Genomic DNA, 27,434 nt, shown 5'->3' with positions numbered 1-27,434 from the left:
GGTTATTTATTTATTTATTTATTTATTTATTTATTTATTTATTTATTTTTGAGTTTCGCTCTTGTTGCCCAGGCTGGAGTGCAGTGGCACGAACTCAGCTCACTGCAACCTCTGCCTCCTGGGTTCAAGCAATTCTCCTGCCTCAGCCTCCCAAGTAGCTGGGATTAGAGGCGTGCGCCACCACGCCCGGCTAATTTTTTTTGGTATTTTTAGTAGAGACGGGGTTTCGCCATGTTGGTGAGGTTGGTCTTAAACTCCTGACCTCAAGTGATCTGCCCGCCTCGGCCTCTCAAAGTGCTGGGATTACAGGCGTGAGCCGCTGCGCCCAGTTTGGGACACCGTTTGAAGTGGTGTGATGGCTGACTTTCTCATTCAACCCCATCAGAAGGAGGCTGTGCCCACCCTATGATACCTTCTGGAGAGAACGTTAAGAAACGAATCTAGGCCTGATGCAGTGGCTCACGCCCATGATGGTGGAACTTCAGGCATTGGTGGAAGGAGGACCACTTGAGGCCAAGAGCTCAAGATCAGCCTGGGAAACATGGTGAGACCCCTATGTTGAAAGAGAGAAAGAAAGAGAGAGAGAGGAGGGGAGGGAGGGAGGGAGGGAAGGTAGGAAAAGAAAAAAGAAAAAGAAAGAAGGAAGGAAAGAAAGAGAGAAAGAAAGGAAGGAAAGGAAGGAAGGAGGGAAGGTAGGAGGGAAGGAAGGAAAAGAAAAAAGGAAAAGAAAGAAGGAAGGAAAAAGAAAGGAAGGAAAGGAAGGAGGGAAGGTAGGAGGGAAGGAGGGAAGGAAGGGAAGGAAGGAGGGAAGGAAGGAGGGAAGGAAGGAGGGAAGGTAGGAGGGAAGGAAGGAAGGAAGGAGGGAAGGTAGGAGGGAAGGAAGGAAGGAGAGAGAGAGAAAGAAAGAAAAGGAAAGGAAAGAAAAGAGGAAAGCAAGCAAGCCCGGTGTGCAGGTGGGCACCTGTAGTCCGAGCTACTTGTGAGGCTGAGGCTGGAGGATCACTTGAACCCAGGAGTTTGAGATTGCAGTGAGCTATGATCACGCCACTGCACTCCAGCCTGGGTGACAGAGCAATATCTTGTCTCTAAAAAAAGGAATCTAGTCTAAAAATCGTTTTGAATACAAGATTTCAGGTCAAGTGGCTCTTACAAGATAGATGTAAAACTACCTAGAAACCAGAAGTGTCTTCACCCACCTCAGCCTCGGACCCTTGACAGGGGGCGGCTGGAAGGCCTTCCATTGTGCCCTTGCCCGCCTGCCTTGATGGTATTTGCCCCTCTGCAATTAACAGCAGAAATTTGGGTCAAGGGCGGTGAAGTAAAACCAACCTTCTGTGGCGCAGGCCCTCGGAGCTGAGATGTCAGATGACAAGAGCTGCCTACCCGTCCTTAAAGCTATCCAGGGCCTTATACAGATATTCCAGAGGCCAGACACGGTGGCTCATGCCTGTAATCCCAGCACTTTGGGAGGCCGAGGTGGGCGGATCATGAGGTTGGGAGTTTGAGACCAGCCTGACCAATATGGTGAAACCCCGTCTCTACTAAAAATACAAAAATTAGCTGGGCATGGTGCCTGTAATCCCAGCTACTCAGGAGGCTGAGACAGGAGAATCGCTTGAACCCGGGAGGCGGAGGTTGCAGTGAGCCGAGTTCGCACCACTGCACTCCAGCCTGGGTGATAGAGTAAGACTCTGTCTCAAAAAAAAAAAAAAAAAAATTCCAGGCCACAGGCACAGTGGCTCACGCCTGTAATCCCAGGACTTTGGGAGGCCGAGACAGGTGGATCACTTGTCACTTGAGGTCAGAAGTTTGAGACCAGCCTGGACAACATGGTGAAACCCTGTCTCTACTAAAAATACAAAAATTAGCTGGAAGTGTTGACGGGCGCCTGTAATCCCAGCTACTTGGGAGGCTGAGGCATGAGAATCGCTTGACCTGGGAGGCAGAGGTTGCAGTGAGCCAAGATGGCACCACTGCACTCCAGCCTGGGCAATAGAGAGAGACTCAGTCTAAAAAAAAAAAAAAAAAAAAAAAAAATTCCAGGCCGGGTACAGTAGCTCACACCTGTAATCCCAGCACTTTGGGAGGCTCGAAGCAGGTGGATTGCTTGAGCCCAGGAATTCAAGACCAGCCTAGGCAACGCAGTGAGACCCTGTCTCTACAAAAATAAAAATAAAACAACTAGCCGGGTTTGGTGGCACATGCCTGTAGTCCCAGCTACTCGGGAGACTGAGGCAGGAGGATCACTTGAGCCCTGGAGGTTGAGCCTGCAGCGAGCTGTGATAGCGCCGCTGCACTCCAGCCTGGGCAACAGAGTGAGACCCTATCTCAAAAAAAAAAAAATCAGATATACAGAGTCACTAGTTCCTTAAAATAAGAAAGATAATAATAATAATAATAGAATAAAATAAAATTCCAGGTCCTGTGGACCTCAGCTTTACTTTTCTTTGTGGAATGAAAAACACAGGGAAAGTCAGAGCTGTAGATGCTTCTGCTCTGTGTTGGCCTTCGGGGCAGAGCCTATGATAGTGCCAAGCTTTTATCATGTCCTGACTCTGTGCTTGGCATTTTCTACACCTGAGACCACTTCCCCATCAAAGCAACTCTACAAAGCAGGAACTGTCATTTATTCCTATTTGACAGATGAGGAAACTGAGGCCACAGCAGTGCAGTCACTTGCCCAGGCTTCTCAGTCCAGAAACTGCTAGAAGGATGCTGGGAAGCTGAGTGCGAGCTGCCAGCCCCCTCATCCTCAGCCCCATGGGTGGTATTGACAGCTCCCTGGGGCATCTTAATAGCTTCCAAAAGCAGAGAAGACAAAGACAGGAAGTGACTTGCACAAGGTCCCCCTTTGGGTACCCCCATGTTTTTTTGTTTTGTTTTGTTTTGTTTTGTTTGAGACAGAGTGTCGCTGTGTTGGCCAGGCTGGAGTGCAGTGGCACAATCTCGGCTCACTGCAAACTCCGTCTCCTGGGCTCAAGCAATTCTCCTGCCTCAGCCTCCCAAGTAGCTGAGATGACAGGTTTGTGCCACCATGCCTGGCTAATTTTCGTATTTTTAGTAGATACAGGGTTTCACCATCTTGGCCAGGCTGGTCTTGAACTCCTGACCTCAGGTAATACACCCGCCTTGGCCTCCCAAAGTGCTGGGATTACAGGCATGAGCCACCGCGCTTGGCCCGGGTACCCCCACTTTTGAACAGATGCCTCTATGTCTTTGATGCTGGGGTCTATGCTGGAGCATCTTCTGCTAGCCCCCTGGCCCCACCCCCCGAGCACGTCCTCCACGCCTTCCAAGCCCCACCAGGAGCTTTGGTTAGGTGAGTGCTATCTCTGCTCGTGCCCATGTGCGTCTGTCCTTTTCTTTTTTCTTTTCCTTTTTTGAGACAGGGTCTCACTCCCATCCCCCAGGCTGGAGTGTGGTTATGCGATCTCACCTCACTGCAGTTTTGACTTCCCAGGCTCAGGTGATCCTCCCACCTCAGTCTCCCTAGCAGCTGGGACTCCAGACACGTGCCACCACCAGCTGATTTTTTCATTTTTGGTAGAGATAGGTCTCACTCTGTTGCCCAGGCTGGTCTTGAATTCCTGGGCTCAAGTGATCCTCCTGCCTTGGCCTCCTGAAGTGCTGGGATTACAGGCTCCAGCCACTGCTCCCGGCCTGTGTCTGTCCTTTTCTTCTCATATCACATTCATTAGTCCCCTCTCATTTGTCTGTGAATCCCCTGGGGCAGGCAACCCATCTCTTGTGACCAGCAGCCCTGGCACCATGCCAGGTCTAGCACATGGTGGGGCACAATGAAGATGTGTTAGGAAATGAATGACAGGCCAGGCGCAGTGGCTCATGCCTGTAATCCCAGCACTTTGGGAGGCCAAGGCGGGCAGATCATCTGAGGTCAGGAGTATGAGATCAGCCTGGCCAACGTGGTGAAACCCCATTTCTACTAAAAACATAAAAATTAGCTGGGCGTGGTAGCACACACCTGTAATCCCAGCTCTTTGGGAGGCTGAGGCAGGAGAATTGCTTGAACCTGGGAGGCAGAGGCTGCAGTGAGCTGAGATCATGCCACTGTACTCCAGCCTCCATCTCAAAAAAAAAAAAATGAATAAAAGAAGAAGCCTGGTGCAGTGGCTCACGCCTGCAACCCTAACACTTTGGGAGGTTGAGGTGGGTGGATCACTTGAGGTCAGGAGTTGGAAACCAGCCTGGCGACATGGTGAAACCGTGTCTCTACTAAAAAATACTAAAAAATTAGCCATGTATGGTGGTGGGTACCTGTAATCCCAGCTACTTGGGAGGCTGTGGCAGGAGAATCGCTTGAATCCAGGAGGTGGAGGTTGCAGTGAGCCGAGATCGTGCCACCGCACTCCAGCCTGGGTAAGAGGGCAAGACTCTGTCTCACACACACACACACACACACACACACAAAGAAGGGAGGGAGGGAATGGGGTTGGGATTGCAGTACCTTCCCCCTGTGATGATGGCAGGGCTCCCAGGAGGCCAAGAGCTCCAGGCCCTGGGTGGACAGAAAGACAAACTGCCCCAGATCTACAAAAGGGTCCATGGTTCCTGGTGGGCTGGGAAAAAGATCCTCGCCGGCTAAGGCAGTGATGCCACAGTCACTCCAGAGGCTGGTTCAGAACCTGGCTTCACCATGAAAAGAGGTACCAGAAATGCCGCCGTGACTTGGGATCAATTGTTAGCCCTTTTGAGTTTCAGATCCTTTGGTAGCAATGATGGGGATGTGAAAGGGTTAAGTTGCATGGTACCCATCGCTGCATGTACGGTCTGGCGTGTACTAAGCACTCAATAAATTGCAGCAATTATCATTTGCTATTAAATGTGGTGATAAACGGTTGTGCCTGCATATGCTATGAGTAGATTTAGAAATGCCAGGAGTGCTCTCTTCTCTCCTTTAAGACATAGTTGGTTGTGCCTGGTTTCAGCTTCATCCTTGCCACTCAGTCCACTGAAATCAAAGTGGAGGAGGCACTGGTCTGGGTGAGTGGGCCATCCTGGGCCAGCCTGGTCTCGCTGGACCTGGTCACCCAGGGAGGAAAAGTTAGCCTCAGAGTTTTGGCAGACGGGCCAAAGTGTGTTAAGAAACTAGAGGAAGGCCAGGCACGGTAGTTCATGCCCGTAATCCCAGCACTTTGGGAGGCCAAGGCAGGAGGATCACTTGAGCGCAAGATTTCAAGACCAGCCTGGGCAACATAGTAAGACCTAGTCTCTACTAAAAAAAATTTTTTTTAAAGTAGCTGGGCCCGGTGGCATGTGCCTGTGGTCCCAGCTACTTGAAAGGCAGAGGCAGGAGGATTGCTTGAGCCTAGGAGTTTGAGGCTGCAGTGAGCTATGATCATACCACTGCACGGCAGCCTGGGTGACAGAGGGAGACTCTGTCTAAAAAAACAAAACAAAAAACACTAACGTAATTCTAACCCAAGTGGAAATGAAAGAATTGATCAACTTCCCTATCGGCATAGAACTTTTCTCTGGAACTCACATGACTAGGGTTGCGGCACCAACTCTCAGACCAATACCAACTTAAAAATAAATGCTGCTGCATTTGAAGTGTTTTGACCAGAGGTTGCACTTGGCAGGCTGCAGGCCAAGTTGAGCCCACAGATGTGTTTCATTTGGCCTGTGGAGCATTTAAAATAATAAATTTGACTTAGTGGCCAACATTTTTAAATCAGGAAATTTCATATTTTAAAAATCCAGATTTCTGGCCGCTTCTAAAAAAAATGGATGATCCAAAAGATTTGGCAGCAGAGAGCCTGTGTTCCCACAGGGGCCAAATAGTGGTATATCTGTTGTTGGGGTATGCTAGCTGCTGTTACAGACAACCCCAGTCTTTCAGTGGCTTAGCACAATACATGTTTATTTCTTGCTCATATCACTGTCCAAGGAATAGGGGACAGGCATGATTCTTAGAAGACAGGGATAACTTTGGGGGGCATCCTAGAGTCTATTTACCATACTTCTCAAAGGAAGATGAAGGGCTTGTTATTTGCGTGTTTTGAGAATTGCTACAGGTTTTGCATTTAGCAAGGCCTAAGTTTGGGGGTTCTTTTTTACCTACAGCAAGTAAAAATCAGCTTGCTCACCTGAATTAGAAGGGCAGAGTGGAAGCAAAAAAAAAAACCCCGGAATGGTGGGAAACGTTCGTTGTGCGCCAGCCTGGTGATTTGCTCAGCAAAACTCAAGTTGATGTGATATAAACAACGTCTGCTGCTTCCAGGGGCCTGCCACAATATTTTCTTTTAAGTGCTACTCACGCCTGAAATACACTTCTGGTTTTGAAATGTGGTTCTCAGCCCATGCACGTCTACAAACCACCCGCTCCCTTATTAAGAGTTCCATTTTTAATTCTTGAATGTAGGTTTCCTAAGCACATGATGTCAGCCCATATGGGAAACCTGACAGGGCAGGGGGGACTGGAGGCCTCCCCTTGGAGAGGGTCAGCGTGATGACAGGACAGGGCTTTTGCACTGGGAACTTAGCATCGTCTCCGTGTAAGTGGCCACTCCGTGTTAACGCTTCTGCTCCCCAGAGCCCAGAGATCCGATTACTCTTTATATTTTCTCTTTTTTCTGTTAACTTTGTACGTTTTGCTGCAAAAATAGTGAATCCAAAAGCCATAGAGCCTCTCTTTGCCAAGGCCATGATATCAGGAAAAAACTTGGAATTTTCTCTGCAATTTCCTCTCCATCTCTCACCCCACCTGGAGATATTATCAACAGCATGAGGTGTGGCGAAGCCTTCGCAGGGGTATGGACTTTCTCTACATTCCAAGAAACCAAAACCAACACACATATACACATATACGTAATGATAAATGTGTATTTATCTTTGCAAAAACGAGATACTAAAAATTAATTATACAAGATGAGGAAGTTTGAGATCTGCTGTATATAGCTAACGGTAGGATACATACACATAAACGTTTGTTAAGAGGGTAGATCCCATGTTAAATATTCTTACACCATACACAAAAGGACACATGGAAAGTTTTGGAGGTGACAGATATGTTTATTACCTTTTTTTTTTTCGAGACAGAGTCTTGCTCTGTTTCTCAGGTTGGAATGCAGTGGTGTCGTCTCAGCTCACTGCAACCTCCACCTCCTGGGTTCAAGTGATTCTTATGCCTCAGCCTCCTGAGTAGCTGGGACTTTGGGCGCATGCCACCATACCTGGGTAATTTTTGTATTTTTAGTAGAGATGGGGTTTCACCATTTCAGCCAGGCTAGTCTTGAACTCCTTGCCTCAAGTGATCAGCCTGCCTCGGCCTCCCTAAGTGCTGGGATTACAAGGTAATACTTGATTCTTGATTGTGGTGAGACTATCAGCAGGTGCATGCATATGTCCAAATGCATCAAATTATACACATTAAATAAGTGCAGTTTTCTGGTTTATCAATTATACCTCCAGACACCTTTAAAACAAAACAAAACAAAAAACCAGAAAAACCAGACTATCAACTTTTCTCACTTAACTATATTCATTATCATGTCAGATCAATCCATCAATCATTCCTTTAAATGGCTTCCTACCATATCATGACATGGATGGGTCAGCATTTACTGAACCGTCCTGGCTGGCGGATGTTTAAAATGTTGTCATCAGAAGAACTCCATGACAGAGGAAGCGAGTGAATGTGTGTCATTCCGAATTTACAACGGGAGAAACTGAGGCACGGAGCCGTTAAAGTGGCTAGTCTGAGGCTCCCACCAGTTCCCAAGAGATGTAGGGGCAGAGCAGAGTCTAGCACTGCTCTTGCTTCATGCCTCCACAAGGTGTCACTGTTGAACTTGCTCCTGCACAGCCTCTGTTGACAAACTGCCCCTCCTTGCTAAAGCTAGGATCCTCACAGGAACCTGGCTTCCCTTCTGTTGCTTCAGAAGTCCTGTTAGGTTGGGCGTGGTGGTACACACCTGTAGGCACAGCTACTTGGAAAGCTGAGGCAGGAGGATCGTTTGAACCCAGGAGTTTGAGGCTCCAGTGAGCTATGATTGTGCTACTGCACTCCAGTCTGGGCAACAGAGCAAGACTGAATCTCTACAAAATAAATAAATGAAAAGTTCTGTTAAACCCTATTCTGCCACTAATTAACTGTGAATAACAGGAAGGTGGGTTGGAAGAGTTTAATTCCTTCTTTCCCAGAAAGCCACGGGCTCCTTATGCAAATCTACCTCTTCCCTCCTGCATGGTCATTTTGCGTGCTGGGATCCCTAAACGTCTCTCTAGGCTCTGTCTTACCTGCCTCTCTTTCCTCCCCAACCCCAGCATCAGAGCCCTTCTTATCTTCCTTTTACACTTCCAACAGAGACGAGGGATTGAATCTGCAAGAACAAAGAGTTGACTTCAAGGTGACTTTCACACATGAAATTCATACAGAAGTTATAGAAATCCAAACATGGCTTTATAGATTCATGAACACAAGTGGTTTAAATGAACACAACACGTCTTGCTTATTCAGAAACATGATCAGCTTCGCCCGTTTCAGTCTAAACAGAACCTGCTTCAAGGATTTAGCTCACTAGTTTCCGATACTGCAGCACGTGCCAAAGTGCTTTTGCAGCTCTGGCACCCCAGATTTCAAGCAGAAGTTACAGTTTTGAGACCTATGTGTCATCTTTCAGGCTTGAAAATAAAAAACAAAACAAAACAGCAAGCACTTCTTCATACACAAATATATATATATATCCTTAGTCATTTTGTGCACACTTTTTTGCATAAATGGTATCTACAGTATTGTAAATTGTGTTTTTCTAATACATTCTCCACCTGATACAGACAGGCTATGGTGGAGATGGATGAGAATGGGCTGTCTCCCTGGGTGATGTCACAGAGAAGGAGTGCTGGTCTACTCTGTGGATGGGGACAGAAAGACAAGGACAGGAAATCTGGGTGGACAATTCCATGCTCTTCAAAGATATTGGCCTACCTGCCCAAGAGCCGTGTTTTTTTGTTTTGTTTTGTTTTTTGAGATGGAGTTTCACTCCTGTCACCCAGGCTGGAGTGCAATGGTGCAATCTTGGCTCACTGCAACTTCTGCCTCCTGGGTTCAAGCGATTCTCCTGCCTCAGCCTCCCGAGTAGCCGGGAGTACAAGCACCCACTACCATGCCCGGCTAATTTTTCTATTTTTGGTAGAGACGGGGTTTCACCATGTTGGCCAGGCTGGTCTTGAACTCCTGACCTCAGGTGATCCACCTACCTTAGCCTCCCAAAGTGCTGGGATTACAGGCGTGAGCCACCTTACCTGGCCCATACGTGATCTTTTATGGCACCTATTCAAAAAGAAACGAATGGGCCAGGCACAGTGGCTCATGCCTGTAATCCCAGCACTTTGGGAGGCTGAGGCAGGAGGCTGAGGTGGGAGGATCATTTGAGCCCAGGAGTTTGAGACCAGCCTGAGCAACATAAGGAGACACCAATGTCGATCCCACCGCCCACCCCCCCAAAAAAAAAGCCAGGTGTGGTGCTAGCGCCTGTAGTCCTGGCTACTTGAAAGGCTGAGTTGGGATGATTGCTTGAGCCCAGGAGTTCGAGGCTGCAGTGAGCTATGACAGCACCATTGCACTCCAGCCTGGGCAATAGAGCGAGACCCTGTCTCCAAAAAAGAAAGTAAAATAAAAAGAAATGAATAGATGCTCCAGTGGAGACAAGAGAACATTCAACATTTATTTGCTTTAATTCTGAATTGTTCTAATTTGCCTGTGTCCCAAAAGGTTTTTGTGTTTGGGTAGGGGTTTTGAGGGACAGGGTGATTCTGGAAAAAAATTGCATATGTAGTACAAAGAAATCATCTTGAAGAAAACCCAAGCAATGTAGAGCACACGTTTACCTGGTAAGAAGTGAAGGAGCCCTTTCAACAGCTTTCCTAGTCTACTTCCCTCCCAGGGGATGATGCTATTTTGGCGTGTACCCTTCCACCCCTTGTGTACCGCTCCTGGAGACCAGCAGCACCAGCATCACCCCAAGACACTTCTTAGAAATGCAGCGTCTCAGGCCCCACTCCAGACCTACTGAGTCACAACCTGCTTCTTAGCAAGATTTCCCCAAGTGGAAGTGTAAGAAGCACTGGTATTTTCTATTTTTATATCATTAACTTACCTATTTATATACATGCCTATGCACAGGCTCCTTCCTGGGTTTAGAATATGGCTGTCGTGGCCGAGTATGGGGGCTCACGCCTGTAAACCCAGCACTTTGTGAAGCCCAGGTGGGTGGATCACTTGAGGTCAGGAGTTTGAGACCAGCCTGGCCAACATGGTGAAGCCCTGTCTCTACTAAAAATACAAAAATTAGCCGGGTGTGGTGGCGCACGCCTGTAATCCCAGCTACTCGGAAGGCTGAGGCAGGAGGATTGCTTGAACCCGGGAGGCGGAGATCTCCGAGTGAGCCAAGATCATGCCACTGCACTCCAGCCTGGGTAACTGAGCCAAACTCGTCTCAAAAAAAAAAAAAAAAAAAAAAAAAAAAAAAAAAAAAGGAAAGAAAGAAAAGAAAAAGGAAAAAAAGAATATGGCTTTCGTTTGAACAGTGGTCCTCGAGGTGCGGTCCAACATCAGCTTCTCCTGGGAGCTCGTTAGAAATGCAAATGACCTGGGCCCAGCCTTGAGCTGCTGAATGCGGAAGCCCTGGGCTGGGGCCCAGCAATCTGCGTTTCTCAAGCCCTCTAGGGGAGGCTGATCCACGCTCACAAGTGTGGAACCCCTGCTGTAGAAGGGGGACACTTACCCCCGGGAGCTCCTGCTCCCTCCCTCTCTCCCTGTCACCTCCCGAGAGCCCGTTCTGGCCTGGCCAGTTCACCGAGGGACGCCCAGAATCCAGTTCCACCAGGCACACACGAGGCGCTCCACGAATGCCTCCTCCAGTTAGGAATCTCAGACTGATACAGCCTTCCCCAAATTCGCTCAAGCTGGTTTTCAGAGTGCACGATGTGGCGGTCCTGGAGGTTGGGGTCATTGCATGACGTCTTCAAAGGCATTCCAGCAGCCCTTTGGTGCATCCTTCGTGATGCAAAGAAAACCTGTGCGATCTGACTGGAGCTCCGTCTACGTAGGCCGCCTCCACAGCAGCCTCTCCTGGCAGCTGCTTCACAAGCGCCCATTTTACAGAGGGGCAAGCGGAGGCTCAGAGCCGGAGGTTTCAGATTTGCGTGTCAGAATTGCTCCAAGCCTGGACAGGGCTGCTTCTCTTTCGAATGCAATGCCTACAGTGGATTTCCTTTCAAAAATAGCAAGCCAGACAGACACCAGCTGACTCTGGGTGTGGGCTCTGTATCAGGCAACGGCAGGGCTTTTGTTAGAGCGGATAAAATTGGATTTTCCTGTGCAGAAGAATGTGGATGGGCCCTTAAGCCAAACTCCAGCAGCTGCAGGTCTCCTTGCCCCAAGGGTGTTGGGGCTTCCCTGAGGCCATGATCTGCAGGGGACCCTTTGAGTTTGCGAGCCCCGCCCCACCCCCAGAGCCCTCCATCTTCTCCCAGGGGATGAAGCGCCCCAGGGGTAGCTGTGTGTAGGGAGCCGATCGCCGGGGCCGGCCAAATTTGCGGACCTTACTCGCCGAGGCTGGACCACCCAGACTTCCACCTTCTGCGAGGGAAGGATGGGAGCTTGAACCCAAACCCTTGAAGGAAAACAGTTGGCTGGGTCTGCAGTCCAGGGGGAAGGATCTACTCGCAGAGTACGGCAAGAGTCGACCACTCCTAAAAAGTCTCCACCCTATAGCTGAAGGTTGGATATCAGGCACGGACGGGGTTCGAACCCGTGATCTTCGGTTTACGAGACCGACGCCTTACCACTTGGCCACCGCGCCTGCGTTGCGATGGCGGTCTCGCGAACCTCTATCCTGGCGCCGCTCCCGTGCGCCCGCCCAGCGAGCACGAGCTCGCACCGTCCCCCTCCCTGCTGCGGCCGGCGGGGCGGGGCTTCAACGGGCGCGCCCCGGCGGGCTCGGGGGCTCGGGGACCCGCGGGCGATTCTGTCGTCTGCAGTGGGCTGGAGAACCTCTGGAGTCGGGGCGCGGCTGGAGCGGTGTCCCGAGGGTCCCGCAGGTCCCGCGGGCGGGGCACCGGCCTGTATCTCAGAAGTCGGGTTCGAATCCCAGCCCCGCCAGCGATGTAGCGCTTCGGGACGGCTCGACTCGGAGTCTCAGTTTCCCCCTCTAGAGTGAGGCACCCAGGAAGCCAAGGAATGGTAGCAGGTTTCCTTATCGGCCCGACTGCGGGCCGTCCACCGCCGCCTTGCAGGGAGCCCACGCCCAGCCAGGGTTGCTGAATGGAGGCGTGAGATTTAGAAAATAAAAGCTTCTGGAAGCTCCGCGCTTTGGCCCGGGCTGAAGGATCGCTTGAGCCCAGGAGATCGGGGCTGCAGTGAGCCGAGATCGCGCCGCTGCACACCAGCCTGAGCGACAGAGGGAGACCTTGTCTCAAAGAAAAGAAAAAAATAAAAACAAACAAACAAAGCCGAAAGTTTCTTCTTCCCCCAGTTTACCTGTTTAGCCTGGATGTGTCCCTGGTCCCAAGACCAGCAGCAGCACCTGGGATTTTGTGAGAAATGCAACTTCTCTCCCGCCCAGACCTGCTGACTTGTCGGCTAAGTCAGCCCCAAGGCACCTGACAGTTTAATGTGCACGCTCATATTTATAGATTCAAACATGCCCTTTGATTTCCACACAAACGGACTGATTTACTGTTCTCTGCACTTTGAGTTTTCATGAATTAATGTATGATGTGTTAATTCAATGGCTCTTGGTAGGTAATACAGTTTAATCAAAATTAATAGCATTGTTTGAGAAATATAACAATTTCTATTATTCATGAATGTGTTGTGTAATATTAACACCATATAGCAAATCATATATACTAAAGTATATACTATAATTAATGGGATTATTATGCATGGGTGGGTTACCTTAGTCTCTAGTAACTACATGGTTTTCCATTGAGTGGCTGTGCTACAATTGATTTAATCTGTTGCTGGGAGCTGGGCATTAGGTTGACTGGAGGATTTGTGTTGCTCACAGAACATTCTGTTATGTGTGTCTCTGCCTGCTGGTACCAGTGATGCGGTAGGGTATATAGGGGCCTATACTAAGAACGTCCACAGCCTGCCATGCAGGTGTATAGGCAAATAGGAAGCTGAAAAATACCAGAGAGATGCTTTAAATGTCAAAGTTTGGGCAGGTGAGTGGGAAATGCGTAATTTTCCCTCCAGGCATTAGGACTGGAACCCTGAGGCCTTGCACCTGGAGTGCTGTGGCGCTCTAAGTGCAGGTGACCTGGTAGCTCCCCAATTAAAAGAAAGACAGACTTGGAGAACATGTTCAGAAAACGTGCATTACCAAGCATTGCTTCTGAATGGCAGATGATAATACTGGCTCCACTGTCCCCATCCTTTTTTTGGGGGGGAGGGGAGGTGTTTATTGGGTTGTTGAAGACTTACTGTGCAGAAGTGGCAGAGGCTTATGAAAAGAAATTAGCAAATGAAGGAAAATCACGTGGGGATTGAGTCCAAAACTAACGGGCAGGTGGAATGGAAATTGGATTTTAATGGGTACTTTAAAAATCTTTGTCTTCTGAGGGAAGGGAGGCAGTTGAAAGCCTCAGGTGTCCCAGGCACATGAAAAGGGGCGTATGCACCTTGATGGGCACGTGGGATGCCCTTTGTATCCTCAGGGCCAGGGGGCCCTCTGACCCTATGTGAGGCCTAAAATAGAGCATACAGGTGGCAGGTGTTGGGCTGATAAGTCCACTTATCTGGCAGGTGAAAAGGAGACCTGAGGAGCCCCAGATCACAGATACCTGGAGGGTGGATGTGTCTGTCCTGGCCCCGGCGTCTGCACGAGGTATGTGCTCAACAAGTATTGTCGAAGGTACCAACATGTAAGATTCCCTTCCACGTGGTTCTGGGGACTCTCCAACCACTGTACCAACAAATGTCCCAGTGCTGAACTTTCAGTAAGGCTTTTGGTGATCAAGCCAAAACCTTCCATTTCTCGGTCATAAGGAATTGGCCATTGTTCACTCTTACTGAGAAACTTTAAGCAAACATTCCCTGTGCCCTGACAGGGTCTGTGGTCCAGGTGAGGTTCTGTTGTCACACAACTGTGACCCAATCCCAGGCCTCCCAAATGCTAGGGTGAGAAACCAGGGTTGGCTGAAGCAGAGGGTGGTTTCAAGGGACTAGAAAGGCGGTGTTTTAAGTGAGAAAATGTCAGAATTGATCTGGTGACAAAGCCAAGTGCCATGATGGAATACTTTTGATCTTTTTGTTTCTTCTGTATAATTAAGTTGCCTAGATCTGAATAATTTATAAGCATCCACTTTTCCTTTGTGTTGAAACTTAGGCACTCTTTTCTATTTCAGAAACAAACAAAATATATACATATATATGTCTTTAATCTTTTTTGGCTTTTTCTGGCACCTCTATTTCCCTGTGCCTGTCTGTAAAGTAGAAATTCTTAGGCCGGAGGTGGCTCATGCCTGTAATCCTAGAACTTTGGGAGGCCCAGTTGGGTAGACTGAGCTCAGGAGTTCAAGACCAGCCTGGGCAACATGGTGAAACCACGTCTCTACTAAAATACAAAAAGTTAGCTGGGTGTGGTGGCACATGCCTATAGTCCTAGCTTCTCCGGAGGCTGAGGCAGGAGAATCACTTGAACCCAGGAAGCGGAGGTTGCAGTGAGCAGAGATGGAGTGAGACTGTCTCAAAAATTTCTTAACCTGAGCCCATGCACTCAAGCCCAGGAAACGTGTGACTTCCCCAAAAGTATATATAAAGTGCGTATATAGTTTTCCTGGAAGAGGGATGTCACAATTTATTGGGGTTTTTGTTTTTGTTTTGAGACAGTCTCGCTCTGTCACCCAGGCTGGAGTGCAGTGGTGCAATCTCAGCTCGCTGCAACCTCCGCCTCCTGGGTTCAAGTGATTCTCCTGCCTCAGTCTCCTGAGTAGCTGAGATTACAGGTGCGTGCCACCACGCCTGGCTAATTTTTGTATTTTTAGTAGAGACGGGGTTACACCATGTTAGGCCAGTCTTGAGCTCCTGACCTCGTGATCCACCTGACTCAGCCTCCCAATGTGCTGGGATTACAGGCATAAGCCACCGCGCCCAGCCGTTATTAGATTTTCAAAAAGACCTCCTGAGGGTCTTAGAAGGCTGAATGCCTTTTTACTTCCTCTCTCCCTTCCTGATGGTGCCTGATTAACCTAAGCCCTACCGAGATACAATATCTATCTAAAGTGGTTTAGCTACAGCTGTGGGTGTCTGAAAAATTGTTTCTGAACAATTCAATGGCAATGTCTCCAAGACACTTTCTGGCTCCAGGGAGGACCTGGGCTTCCCCCAGCTCCTCCATCCTGGCTCACCTTGTGTGCCTGGTGCCTGCTGCCTTCCACAGAGTGAGGGTGGGCAACAGAGGCTCTTCCTGGCCTGTGAGGGGCTGGCACCTGCGTTATCTCAGTAAGCCTTGGTGGTGGCTGGGTGGCACCTGCAGATTTCATGAAAATGCAGGCTGATTCAGTTAGTCTGGGCTGGGTCCGCGGAGCTGCCTTTCTAAGTTCCCAGTTAATGCTGCTGCAGCTGGTCCAGGGCCTCACTTTGGGAAGCACTGCTTTAAAGTATTCCTGGAGAAATTCGTTTGCTTGTGGAAGAGAAAAAACCCTCAGGCTTGGATATTTAGGTCATCTGAGGTCATGACAGCGGGCTTTTTACTAACACCCTAAATAAAGATTTTACCTAAAGAAAGCACACTTAGCTACTCACAGTATCCCAGCTCCTTGAGGCAGGGGCCCTGTGTTGTGAGGGATGGGCAGGGTTCTTTTTGTTTTTTAAAGAGACAAGGTCTTGCTCTGTCACTCACGCTGGAGTGCAATGGCATGATCATAGCTCACTGCAGCCTCTAACTCCTGGGCTCAAGTGATTCTCCTGATTCAGCCCTTGGCTCAACTGGTCCTCCTGCCTCAGCCTTCAGAGTAGTTGGGACTATAGGCACATGCCACCATGCCTACCGGGCTAATTTTTAATTTTTATTTATTTTTCGAGACGCAGTCTTGTTCTGTCACACAGGCTGGAGTGCAGTGGTATGATCTTGGCTCACTTGCAAACTCTGCCTCCCAGGTTCAAGGATTCTCCTGCCTCAGCCTCCCGGGTAGCTGGGATTACAGGCATGTGCCACCACGTGGGCCCAGCTAATTTTTGTATTTCTAATAGAGATGCTGTTTCACCATGTTGACCACGCTGGTCTTGAACTCCTGACCTCAAGTGATCCGCCCACCTCAGCCTCCCAAAGTGCTGGGATTACAGGCCTGAGCCACGTCGCCTGGCCCTAATTTTAAAATTCTTTTGTAGATGTCGGGGGTTGGGGGGGGGGTCTTGCTATGTTGCCTGGGCTGGTCTTGAACTCCTGGGCTCCAGTGATCCTCCTGCCTTGGTCTCCCAAAGTGCTAGGATTACAGGTGTGAGCCACCATGCTGGGCCTCAGCACCATTTGTTGAAATGATTACCCTCTCCCCATTGAATTGCCTGGGTACCTTGGTTAAAATTCAATGAACTGTGTGTGGTCTATTTTTGGTCTTTTTATTCTGTTCTGTTGATCCATATGTCCATCTTTATGGCAATTACCACCAGTCTTGATTATTGTATATTTATAGTGGGTACAAAATCAAGTATTGTAAATCCTTCCACTTTGTTTTTCTTTTACAAAATTGTTTTGCCTATAATAGATCCTTTGCATTTCCATATAATTCCTGGAATCGGCTCATCAGTTTCTATAAAATGCCTTCTGGGATTTTGATTGGGAACGCGTTGAATCTACAGATGAATTTGGGGGAATGGATGACTTAACAGTATGGAATCTTCCTATCCATGAATATTTCATTTCCCCATTGTTTGATGCTGATGCCTGTGAGTCTTTAATTTTGAATTCATTTCTTTGGAATTTAATTATGTGAGTTTCCTGTGATTTTTTTTTTCAGTGGAGGAGTAGTTGGAATGATTATGGTAACTGTATTCACCTCCTTTTAACAGTCTGTCCAAGTGAAAATCCCTGCCACATGTGGGAACTGTGTCAGCCCTGGCAGAATGCAGCAAGATGGGTGGTCTGTGTAACCAAAAATCTTCTGGCTTGAAAAGAGAGGTGATGATGATTATTTCAACACCCTTAACAAATAATGGCAACCACACACAAAATGTTATAGGGATGAAAAGTAGATTTTTTTCCTGCACAGAAATTACAGTTGTACAGGATGCCCTGGTATCACCTCATCAAATCAATCTTTGAACCTCTCTAACCTTGGAAAGTATCTGTTTAAATTGGTTCGTTCCAGAGCCAGAACAAGATCAAGTTGGCAGCTATGAATAATAAAAAGTTTTGTTCTTTTTTCCCTTTCCTTTTTTTCCCCCTAGATAAGCTCTAAAAAGGTCAACCAGATTATCTGAGCTACAACATTAGCATGCAGAGTAGACAATGGGTCGATCTATATAAGAAGCAGTAGACAGTGAAAGAACAAAATTGCTATTTCTCTTATCATTCTGCCTGCATGGAACAGAGGGCCCCCACCCTCCCAGCTCTAAGTTCCCTTCTTCCCTCCTTCGTCCTCCTCTTTTTCAAGGTTGACCACTGTTAGGAGTTTATTTGGAATCATTACATATCTTTTCCTTTGCTTTCATGTTGATATCTATTTATCCATAGGAAATAAAGACTTTTGGGGAGGATTTTTCTCCCCACAAATGGTATCATATTATACACTTTTTTTTTTTTTTTTGAGACAGAGTCTTGCTCTGTCGCCCAGGCTGGAGTGCAGTGGTGAGATCTCGGCTCACTGCAACCTCCGTCTCCTGGGTTCAAGTGATTCTCCCTGCCTCAGCCTCCTGAATAGCTGGGATTACGGGCATGCGCCACCATGCCTGGCTAATTTTTATGTTTTTAGTAGAGGCGGGGTTTCGCCATGTTGGGCAGGCTGGTCTCAAACTCCTGACCTTAGGTGATCTACCCTCCTGCTTGGATTACAGGAGTGAGCCACGGTGCCCGGCCATATGCATTTTTTAATGTACATATTTTGGATTCTACAGACCACTGGAGCTTTATTTAGCCATATTCCCTGTGGCTCTAGCTCATTCCTTATTTGCCCCATTCTAATCTACTAGGTGACTGCACCACAGTTTTTATAATTCCCCGCTGGTTGCTGTAGCTCACTCCTGTAGTCCCAGCACTTTAGGAGGCTGAGGTGGGCTGATCACCTGAGGTCAGGAGTTTGAGACCAGCCTGTCCAACACGGTGAAACCCTGTCTCTCTACTCAAAATACAAAATTAGCTGGGTGTGGTGGCACGTGCCTGTAATCCCAGCTGTTTAGGAGGCTGAGGCAGGAGAATCGCCTACACCTGGGAGGTGGAGGTTGTGGTGAGCCAGGATCACGCCACTGCACTCCAGCCTGGGTGACAAGAGTAAACCTCCATCTCAAATAAAAATAATAATAATTATTATTCCCCTATTGCTGGCCACCTAGGTTGTTTCCGATTTTTCTTCATTACAGCTTCTCTTGCATTGTTGCACTTGTCCCTCATGCACACATGTAGAGCTCTTGGCCATGGATATAAGGTCCATTACTTTCCTAAGATGACCTCTCTGTGTTGTATTTTACCAGCCTTATCTACTAAAAATATCTGCTTACTGGTGAGTGAGCTGGCCATTGGTCCCACTGGACTCCAGGAGTGATGTTTGCTTTTGCTCAAGTCTCTCTCATTTTTAGCTTTGTGTGGAGTTAGTTGAGAGGAGGTAGAAATAATCAGCCTCACCCTTTGTGTAACAACGTGGCCAACGTTTACCCAGCTGCTTGAGATGTGTGTTATGGGTTGGAGTGTACTGGTATCAAACCAAATTCCTTTGGTTCTTTTTAGTGTTATGAGCTTGTAAGATATAATATGTAAATGTCCAAAATTAGTTCCTTCACATATGTTGCTACTTTCTATAAAGTAGTAGGAGAATCTCACATGATGAATGATAGATGGTACGCATTTTTCAAAATAGGAAATAATCATTTATTTCTCTTTATGTTTATTCATATTATACATTTCAAAAACTCAGACCTTTACTCACATTATCCAGGAAGCGATTTTGATAGTGACCTTTTCCTAGACCTTGTATTTTAAGATCCCTGGTGCATAAATGACACAATCTTCTGGATTGCATTTTTTTTTTAGAGACGAAGTCTCACTGTGTCACCCAGGCTGGAGTGCAGTGGTGCAAGCTTGGCTCACTGCAATCTCCATTTCCCAGGTTCAAGCAATTCTCCTGCCTCAGCCTCCAGAGTAGCTGGGGATTACAGGCGCGCACCACCAGGCCCAGCTAATTTTTGTATTTTTAGTAGAGACAGGGTTTTACCATGTTGGCCAGGCTGGTCTCCCACTCCTGACCTCAAGTGGTTTGCCCACCTCAGCTTCCCAGAGTGCTGGGATTATAGGTGTGAGCCACTGTGCCTGGCCTGGTGCAATTTTTTAAACCAGTACAGTGTTTTTGTGAACTTATGCTTACTCTTGGGCCACCTTCCAGATACACACTCAAGCAGTATATATGTGGTTAAGGATGGGATCTATGTTATGAAGTTTAAAGTGACTATTTAAAAATGTCATCTCCTGTCATCAGACACCAATTATCATCTCCTCAGCTTTTGGTGTGGGAGGTGATTATTCCCAGTGCTGTTCTTGGCAACTTGAAAAGATAAATGGGTGGAAGGAAATGAGAGCAAAGTGTGATGAATTTACTTACTGAGCCAAACATACCTTTTGTGTTTTTCTCTTGCAGCTTTGCTTTAGTGCTGTAAAACTGTAAATGTTCACGTAACACTCAGGTGTAAAAGTGTCAAACATGAAATGTGACCTTTATGTTCTTCCTTTTTCCATTATGGACACATTAGAATTTCTTGATGGAAACGTGAATAACATTTTTTCGGAAACATCTCATTGTTCTTTTTCATGGTACTTAAAATGCTGTCATTCTTGCGACACTTTCTGTCTTTGTAGCTGTTTGTTGGATGCTAGTTTATTGCCCTGGAAGTCTAAATGGGTTTTCTCTGGTGTTTACCTCTGCGTATTTCCCATTTGTTATGGTATATTAGTATCATTTAATCCTCTGCTATCTTTAAAAATAGGTGGGGCACAGTGTCTCACACCTGTAATCCCAGCACTTTGGGAGGCCAAGGCAGGAGGATCGCTTGAGCCCAGGAGTTTGAGACCAGCCTAGGCAACGTGGTGAAAACTTGTCTTTACAAAAATACACAAATTAGCTGGGTGTGGTGGCATGCGCCTGTAGTCCCAGCTACTCGGGAGGCTGAGGTGGGAGGATCACTTGAGCCCGGGAGGCCGAGGCTGCAGTGAGCCATGATGGTGCCACCGCACTCCAGACTGGGTGACAGAGAGAGACCCTGTCTCAAAAAAATGGAAAAAAAAAAAAAAAAACCAACCTCAAGGGAAAATACTTAGACAAAGTACAAATACTGTAGCCAGACCTCATCCTTTCTCAAATACAAGGTACTATTTCCATCCAGGTAGAAGAACCTATAGAAATCTAGGTGGTCTCTCTTTTTTTTTTTTTTCTTCAAATTGAGTTGTTTGCATTGTTTCTTCATGTCCTTTTGTCATCCTTCCCTCCCACCCCTAACAACTGCCATTCTGCTTTCTGTCACCATATGTTAGTTTGCACTAACAAACTAATTTTGATTTTTTTTGGGACGGAGTCTTGCTCTGTCACCCAGGCTGGAGTACAGTGGCAAGATCTCAGCTTGCTGCAAGATCTCAGCTTGCTGCAAGATCTCAGCTTGCTGCAAGATCTCAGCTTGCTGCAAGATCTCAGCTTGCTGCAACCTCTGCCTCCTGGGTTCAAGTGATTCTCCTGCCTCAGCCTCCTGAGCAGCTGGGATTACAGGGTCCCCACTAATTTTTATATTTGTAGTACAGATGGGATTTTGCCATGTTAGCCAGGGTGGTCTTAAACTCCTGACCTCAAGTAATCCACCTGCCTTGGCCTCCCAAGGTGCTGAGATTACGGGCATGAGCCACCATGCCAGGCTAATTTTTGTATTTTTAATAGAGATGGGGTTTCACCATGTTGGTCAGGCTTTCTCAAACTCCTGACATCAGGTGATCTGCCCACCTTGGCCTCTGAAAGTGCTGGGATTACAGGCGTGAGCCACCGTACTTGGCCCACATCCTGGAATTGTATGTAAATGGAATCAAACAGTACGTGCTCTTTTTTCCTGGCTTCTTTCCCTCGGCATAACTGAGACTTACCTGTATTGTACATTATTGTGTACCAAGAATTCATTCCTTGTTGTTGTTGAGTGGTATGGACATTTGAGTTGTTTCTGGTTTTTGGCTATTACAAACAAAACTACTGTGAACATTTGTGTATAAACCTTTGAACAGACATATGTGTTCATTGCTTTTAGATACATACACAGGAGTAGAATCCATGGGTCATATGTTTATCTTTTTAAGAAACTGACAAACTGTTTCCCCAAGTGGCTGCACCATTTTACATTTCCACCAACAGTGGAGGAGAGTTCAGTTCCCCCATATCCTCGCCAACACTTGGTGTGGTCAGTCTTTTTGGTCATTCTAATAGGCGTGTAATGGTATTGCATTGTGATTTTAATTTGCATTTCTCTATTTTTTTTGAGACGGAGTCTCACTCTGTTGCACAGGCTGGAGTGCAGTGGCATGATCTCAGTTCACTGCAACCTCTGCCTCCTGGGTTGAAGTGTTTCTCTTGCCTCAGTCTCCTGAGAAGCTGGGATTACAGGTGCCCACTGGCGCCCCTGGCTAATTTTTGTATTTTTAGTAGAGAGTGGGTTTCACCATGTTGGCTAGGCTGGTCTTGAACTCCTGAACTCAGGTGATCTGCCCACTTAGGCCTCCCAAAGTGCTGGGATTACAGGTGTGAGCCACTGTGCCTGGCCAATTTGTGTTTCTCTAGTACTAAGATGTTAAGCATTTTTTCATGTGTTTGTTTATTTGGCATTCATTTGTTGTCTTTGGTGAAGTTTCTGTTCCATGCATTTTTTATTGGGATTTTAAATTATTAAAATGTGGAATTTTGTTGTTTTTTGTTTTTAAGGTTAGCCAAGTGAAGCAGTGAAAATGGAGAAGAACAAAGAAATGTATAACTGGTTGTGATCAATTGGTTGTAAATTGCACTCAGACCAGTGAGATTCTTGATATATTCTGAATATAAATCCTTTATCAGATATGATTTCCAAGTATTTTGTCCCAGTCTGTGGCTCTTTTTAATCTTTTAACACTGTCCTTTAAGGAGCAAAAGTTTTAAATTTTGATTAAATCAAATTATTAACTTTTTCTTTTATGGATCATTCTTTTTTTGTTATAGCTAAGAAATCTCTAACTCAAAGTCACAAATGTTTTTCCTCTACAAATTTTATAGTTTTAGATTTTAGGTCTATGACTCACTCAGAGTAAATTTTGTATATGATGAGTTATGGATTGAAGTCCACCTTTTTGGATATAGATATCCATTTGTTTCAGTATCTTTTGTTGAATAGACCATACTTCCTCCACTGAATTGCCTTTGCACCTTTGTTGAAAATAAGTTGTCCATATATGCCTGGGTCTCTTTCTTGACTCCATTTTGTCCTATTGATCTATTTGTCTATCTTTACTGTCTTAATGTAGCTTGTCTTTTTTTTTTTTTTTTTCCTGAGACGGAGTTTTGCTGTGTTGGCTAGGCTAGAGTGCAGTGGTGTGATCTCGGCTCACTGCAACCTCCACCTCCTGGCTTCAAGCAGTTCTCCTGCCTCAGCCTCCCAAGTAGCTGGGATTAGAAACGTGTGCCACCATGCCCAGCTGTTTTGTATTTTTAGTAGAGATGGGGTTTCACCATGTTGGCCAGGCTGGTTTTGAACTCCTGACCTCAAGTGATCCTCCTGCCTCAGCCTCCCAAAGTGCTGGGATTACAGGCATGAGCCACCGTGCCTGGCCGATGTAGCTTAAGTCTTGAAATGAGGTAGCATTAGTCTTCCAATTCTTTGTTCCTCCTTTTTTTTTTGTTTTTTTTGTTTTGAGTCTCACTGTCGCCAGGCTGGAGTGCAGTAGTGCGATCTTGGCTCACTGCATTCTCCGCCTCCCGGGTTCAAGGGATTCTTCTGCCTCAGCCTCCCGAGTAGCTGGGATTACAGCTGTGCATCACCACACCCAGCTAATTGTTTTGTATTTTTAGTAGAGACAGGGTTTCGCCATGTTGGCCAGGATGGTCTCGATCTCCTGACCTCATGATCTGCCTGCCTTGGCCTCTGAAAAGTGTTGGGATTACAGATATGAGCCACGGCGCCTGGCCTGTTCCTCTTTTTGACTATTCTATTTCTTTATCATTTTCATATGAATTTTAGTATCTGGTGACAATTTCTACAAAAAACATGTTGGCATTTCGATTGCAACTGCGTTAAATCTGTAGATCAATTTGGGGAGAATTGACATATTGGCAATATTGAGTTTTCCAATGCCTGGACATTATATATCTCTTTATTTACTTAGGTTTTCAATTTCTCTGTAAAGTGTTTTGTAGTTTTTAGTATACAGACCTTTCATATCTTTTGTCAGATCTATCCCATATATTTCATATTTTTGATGCTATTATAAATGGCACTATTTAAAAAATCTCAATTCCTGATTAATTGCTAGTAGATAAAAATACAATTGACTTTTGTATATTGATCTAATATTCTGCAAATGTCTTTCTGTCTCTCCACTCAAGGGACTCAAATTACTGATAGAATACGCTACAGCCTACTCTGTCACCATATGTCTCTCACCAGAGACATATTTTTTCTGTAATGTATCATTTTCCATTATTCTCAGTCAGTGCATTTTTCATCTCCAGACATTGTAGTTTTCATCTGACGTTCAATGTATTAAAAAACTCCTATGTTTTTGTTTCTACTTAACTTTTTGATCATATGGAATTCAGTTATAATGGTTTTAATGTCCTTGTCTGCAAACTGACATTTCTGTCAGTTTTTTTTTTTCTAAACAACTTCTGCCTTTAATAATTCTTTTTTAAAACAACTTCCTGGTTGGTTATAATTAATTAATTAATCTTATTAAATATGTCATATTTTTTGCTTGTATTTGTTAGATGGATCTGGAGCAGAGATTAGTCTATAATCCTCAATGCTGGGGAAGGATTTTCTTGAATACTTCTAATGTCCCTTGCATTATGAGTTTTCAGCTTGGCTGGTGGCAACAGGCACTATTCCCAGCACTGTATGAGTACTGGGAGCTGTTACCTGTAATTTTGGGGGTTGTTCTTTCCCAGGCCATGTGTAGTGTGTTTACACCCATATACCTGTCAGTGCTCTGCTGAATACTAAAGGAGACCCTCTGTAGATTTCCAGAGTTTTCTCAATGTAGCTCTCTTCTCTAGTATTATGTGCTACAAACTCAAGCTGTCTTGGCCTCCTGGATTCATTGCCCTGGCTGCCAACTTAGGAATCCACTGGCTCTACCTGACTTCCCTGGGCAACAGTAGAGTTCACCTTGTTTCCTGTCCCTTAGAGATAACTCTTTTGTTATTTGATATCTAGCATTTTCCAAAGGGTTTCATATATTTTGTCCATCTTGGTGGTTTCAGGTAGGAAGTCAAGTCTGGCCCCTGTTACTCCATTTTGCTTGAAAGCAGAAGTCTTCTGTGTCATTGTTTGGAGGTACTAAGTTTTAGAGTGCTTTATTATGCATCAGTAAATAACCAGAAGACTAGATTTGAAGGCACAAAAAAATCACTCTCACAATAAATGTGCTTAAAATAAATGGATGTTTACTAAGAAAATTGGATTTGTTTTGAGATGGAGTCTCACTTTGTCACCCAGGCTGGAGTGCAGTGGTGTAATCTTGGCTCACTGCAGCCTCCACCTCCCTGGTTCAAGTGATTCTCCTGCCTCAGCCTCCCGAGTAGTTGGGATTACAGGTGGGCATCACCACGCCTGGCTAATTTTTGTACTTTTAGTAGAGACGAGATTTCACCATGTTGGCCAGGCTGATCTCGAACTCTTGATCTCAAGTGATCCACCTGCCTTGGCTTCCCAAAGGGCTGGGATTACAGGTGTGAGAGCCACTGTGCCCAGCCTACTTAGCATAATGTTTTAAAGGTTCATCCTTGTTGTAGCATGAGTCAGTTCATTTTTCTTTTTTTTTTGCCAAATAATCCATTATATGAATATACCACATTTTATCCATTCATGAGTTGATGGACATCTGGGTTGTTTCTACTTTTTGGCTATTATGAATAATGGTGTGGTAAACATTCAGGTACAAGTTTTTGTGTGGACATGTGTTTTTCATTCTCTTGGGTTGTATGCCTGGGAGCGGAATTGCTGGGTTATGTGGCAACTCTATTTTTAAACTTTTTTGAAGAACTGCTAAATGGTTTTCCAAAACAGTCACACTATTTCACACTACCACCAGCAGTGTATATGGGTTTGTTTCTCCACATCCTTGTTGATGCTTGTTATTATCTACCTTTTTAGATTATGGCCATCCTAGCATCTGTCAAGTGGTATCTCGTGGTTTTGATTTGTATTTGTCTGAGGTCAAGCATCTTTTCATGCACGTATTGGCCATTTGTGTCTCTTCTTTGGAGAAGTGACTTCAGATTCTTTACCCATTTAAAAATTGTTTATCTTTTTATTATTGAGTTGTAATAGTCTTTTATACATATTTCAAATACAAGTCTTTTATCAGATACATGATTTGCACAATTTTTCTCCTATTTTGTGGGTTGTATTGAATTTTCTGGGCAGTATTATTTGGAGCACAGAAGTTTTTAGCCTTGGTGATATCTAACTAGTCTATTTTTTCTTTTATTGCTTATGCTTTTGTTGTCATATTTAAGAAGGTTTTGCCTAACCCAAGGTAACACAGATTTTCTGTTGTCTTCTACAAGTTTTATTGTTTTACTTCTTTTAGTTTGATCTATTTTAAATTTTTATATGGTATGAGGTAGGGAGTCCAAATTCATTCTTTTGCATGTGGATATCCAGTTGTCTCAGCACTGTTTGTTGAAAAGCCAGTTCCTTCCCCCACTGAATTATTTTGGCTTTTTTTCGTGTGTGTGAAAAATCAATTGACCATAATATGAGAATTTATTTCTGTATACTTAGTGCTATCCTATTGATCTTTATGTCTATTCTTATGCCAGTACTACACTTTGAATATTGTAGCTTTGCTGTAAGTTTTTAAATTGAGATGTGTGGGTCCTCCAACTTTGTTCTTTTTTCAAGATTTTGGATATTCCAGGTCCCTTGAATTTCATATGAATTTTAGGATTAGCTTGTCCATTCTAGCAAAAACCCAGCTAAGATTTTGATAGGGAGTATGTCCAATCTGTAGATCAGTTTTGGGGAATATTAACATGTTAACAATATTAAGTCTTCAGATCCATGAACGTGGATGTCTTTCCATTTATTTGTCTTTGAGAAATATTTTCAGAGTATAAGTTTTCAGAGTATGTCTTTTTTTTTTTTTTTTGAGATGGAGTCTCGCTCTGTCGCCCAGGCTGGAGTGCAGTGGTACAATCTCGGCTCACTGCAAGCTCTGCCTCCTGGGTTCACGCCATTCTCCTGCCTCAGCCTCCCGAGTAGCTGGGACTACAGGCGCCTGCCACCACGCCCAGCTATTTTTTTGTATTTTTAATAGACATGGGGTTTCACCGTGTTAGCCAGGATGGTCTCGATCTTCTGACCTCATGATCTGCCTGCCTCGGCCTCCCAAAGTGCTGGGATTACAGGTGTGAGCCACCACGCCCGGCCCAGAGTATGTCTTATACTTCTTTTGTTAAATTTATTCCTAAGTATTGCTTGTGATGCTATTATAAATGGCATTGTTTTCTTAATTTCATCTGTGGTTTATTCATTGCTACTGTACAGAATTGCAATTGAGTTTTGTATCCTGTGACCTTGATGAATTCATTTTATTCTAATCAATTTTTAGGAAATTCTTTAGGATTCTCTATAGGCAAGATCATGCCATCTACAAATAGAGATTGTTTTATTTCTTCCTTTCCAATCTGGATGCCTTTTATTTCTTTTTCTTGTATAATTGTCCTGGGTAGAAACTCTAGTACAATGTTGAACAGAAGTTCTAAGAGTGGACATCCGTTTTTTCCTGAGCACTGGAGACAAGCATTCAGTCTTTCACCACTATGTATAATGATAGTTGTGGGTTTTGTGTAAATGACCTTTATAACGTGAGAAAGTTCCTTTCTATTTCTAGTTCATTGCATTTTTATTGTGAAGGGGTGTTGAATTTTGTCAAGTGCTTTTTCTGTGTGTATTGGGATAATCATGTAGTTTTTGTACTTTATTCTATGGATAGGGTGTTTTGCATTAATGGATTTTCAGAGGTTAAACCAACTTTGCATTC

The 27,434-nt window shown here is 45.5% G+C and overlaps 1 non-coding gene across 1 annotated transcript, besides 6 other annotated features; it reads right to left on the bottom strand.

The window, feature by feature from the left end:
• Positions 7,652 to 7,946: a silencer, noted in NCBI's record as "tiled region #5476; HepG2 Repressive non-DNase unmatched - State 12:CtcfO, and K562 Repressive DNase matched - State 12:CtcfO". NCBI's record gives its function as "represses a minimal TATA promoter and a strong SV40 promoter by Sharpr-MPRA in HepG2 and K562 cells {active_cell/tissue: HepG2 | K562}" and the evidence as "EXISTENCE:reporter gene assay evidence [ECO:0000049][PMID:27701403]".
• Positions 11,409 to 11,528: an enhancer, noted in NCBI's record as "active region_10491". NCBI's record gives its function as "activates an Ori minimal core promoter by ATAC-STARR-seq in GM12878 lymphoblastoid cells {active_cell/tissue: GM12878}" and the evidence as "EXISTENCE:reporter gene assay evidence [ECO:0000049][PMID:35858748]".
• Positions 11,559 to 12,556: an enhancer, noted in NCBI's record as "H3K27ac-H3K4me1 hESC enhancer chr16:14379019-14380016 (GRCh37/hg19 assembly coordinates)". NCBI's record gives its function as "activates a minimal SCP1, AML or CMV promoter by ChIP-STARR-seq in naive H9 embryonic stem cells {active_cell/tissue: H9 hESC(naive)}" and the evidence as "EXISTENCE:reporter gene assay evidence [ECO:0000049][PMID:30033119]".
• Positions 11,699 to 12,108: a silencer, noted in NCBI's record as "silent region_7228". NCBI's record gives its function as "represses an Ori minimal core promoter by ATAC-STARR-seq in GM12878 lymphoblastoid cells {active_cell/tissue: GM12878}" and the evidence as "EXISTENCE:reporter gene assay evidence [ECO:0000049][PMID:35858748]".
• TRT-CGT2-1 (tRNA-Thr (anticodon CGT) 2-1) lies at positions 11,754 to 11,825 on the bottom strand. The gene has a single exon. It is a non-coding gene; the product is annotated as a tRNA-Thr (tRNA).
• Positions 13,238 to 13,886: an enhancer, noted in NCBI's record as "OCT4-NANOG hESC enhancer chr16:14377689-14378337 (GRCh37/hg19 assembly coordinates)". NCBI's record gives its function as "activates a minimal SCP1, AML or CMV promoter by ChIP-STARR-seq in primed H9 embryonic stem cells {active_cell/tissue: H9 hESC(primed)}" and the evidence as "EXISTENCE:reporter gene assay evidence [ECO:0000049][PMID:30033119]".
• Positions 15,431 to 15,932: an enhancer, noted in NCBI's record as "H3K4me1 hESC enhancer chr16:14375643-14376144 (GRCh37/hg19 assembly coordinates)". NCBI's record gives its function as "activates a minimal SCP1, AML or CMV promoter by ChIP-STARR-seq in naive H9 embryonic stem cells {active_cell/tissue: H9 hESC(naive)}" and the evidence as "EXISTENCE:reporter gene assay evidence [ECO:0000049][PMID:30033119]".

The sequence above is a fragment of the Homo sapiens genome, chromosome 16 (assembly GCF_000001405.40).
Source record: "Homo sapiens chromosome 16, GRCh38.p14 Primary Assembly".
In the NCBI taxonomy this organism is placed as follows: Eukaryota; Metazoa; Chordata; class Mammalia; order Primates; family Hominidae; genus Homo; species Homo sapiens.
This window is presented reverse-complemented; position numbering and strand designations above follow the sequence as displayed.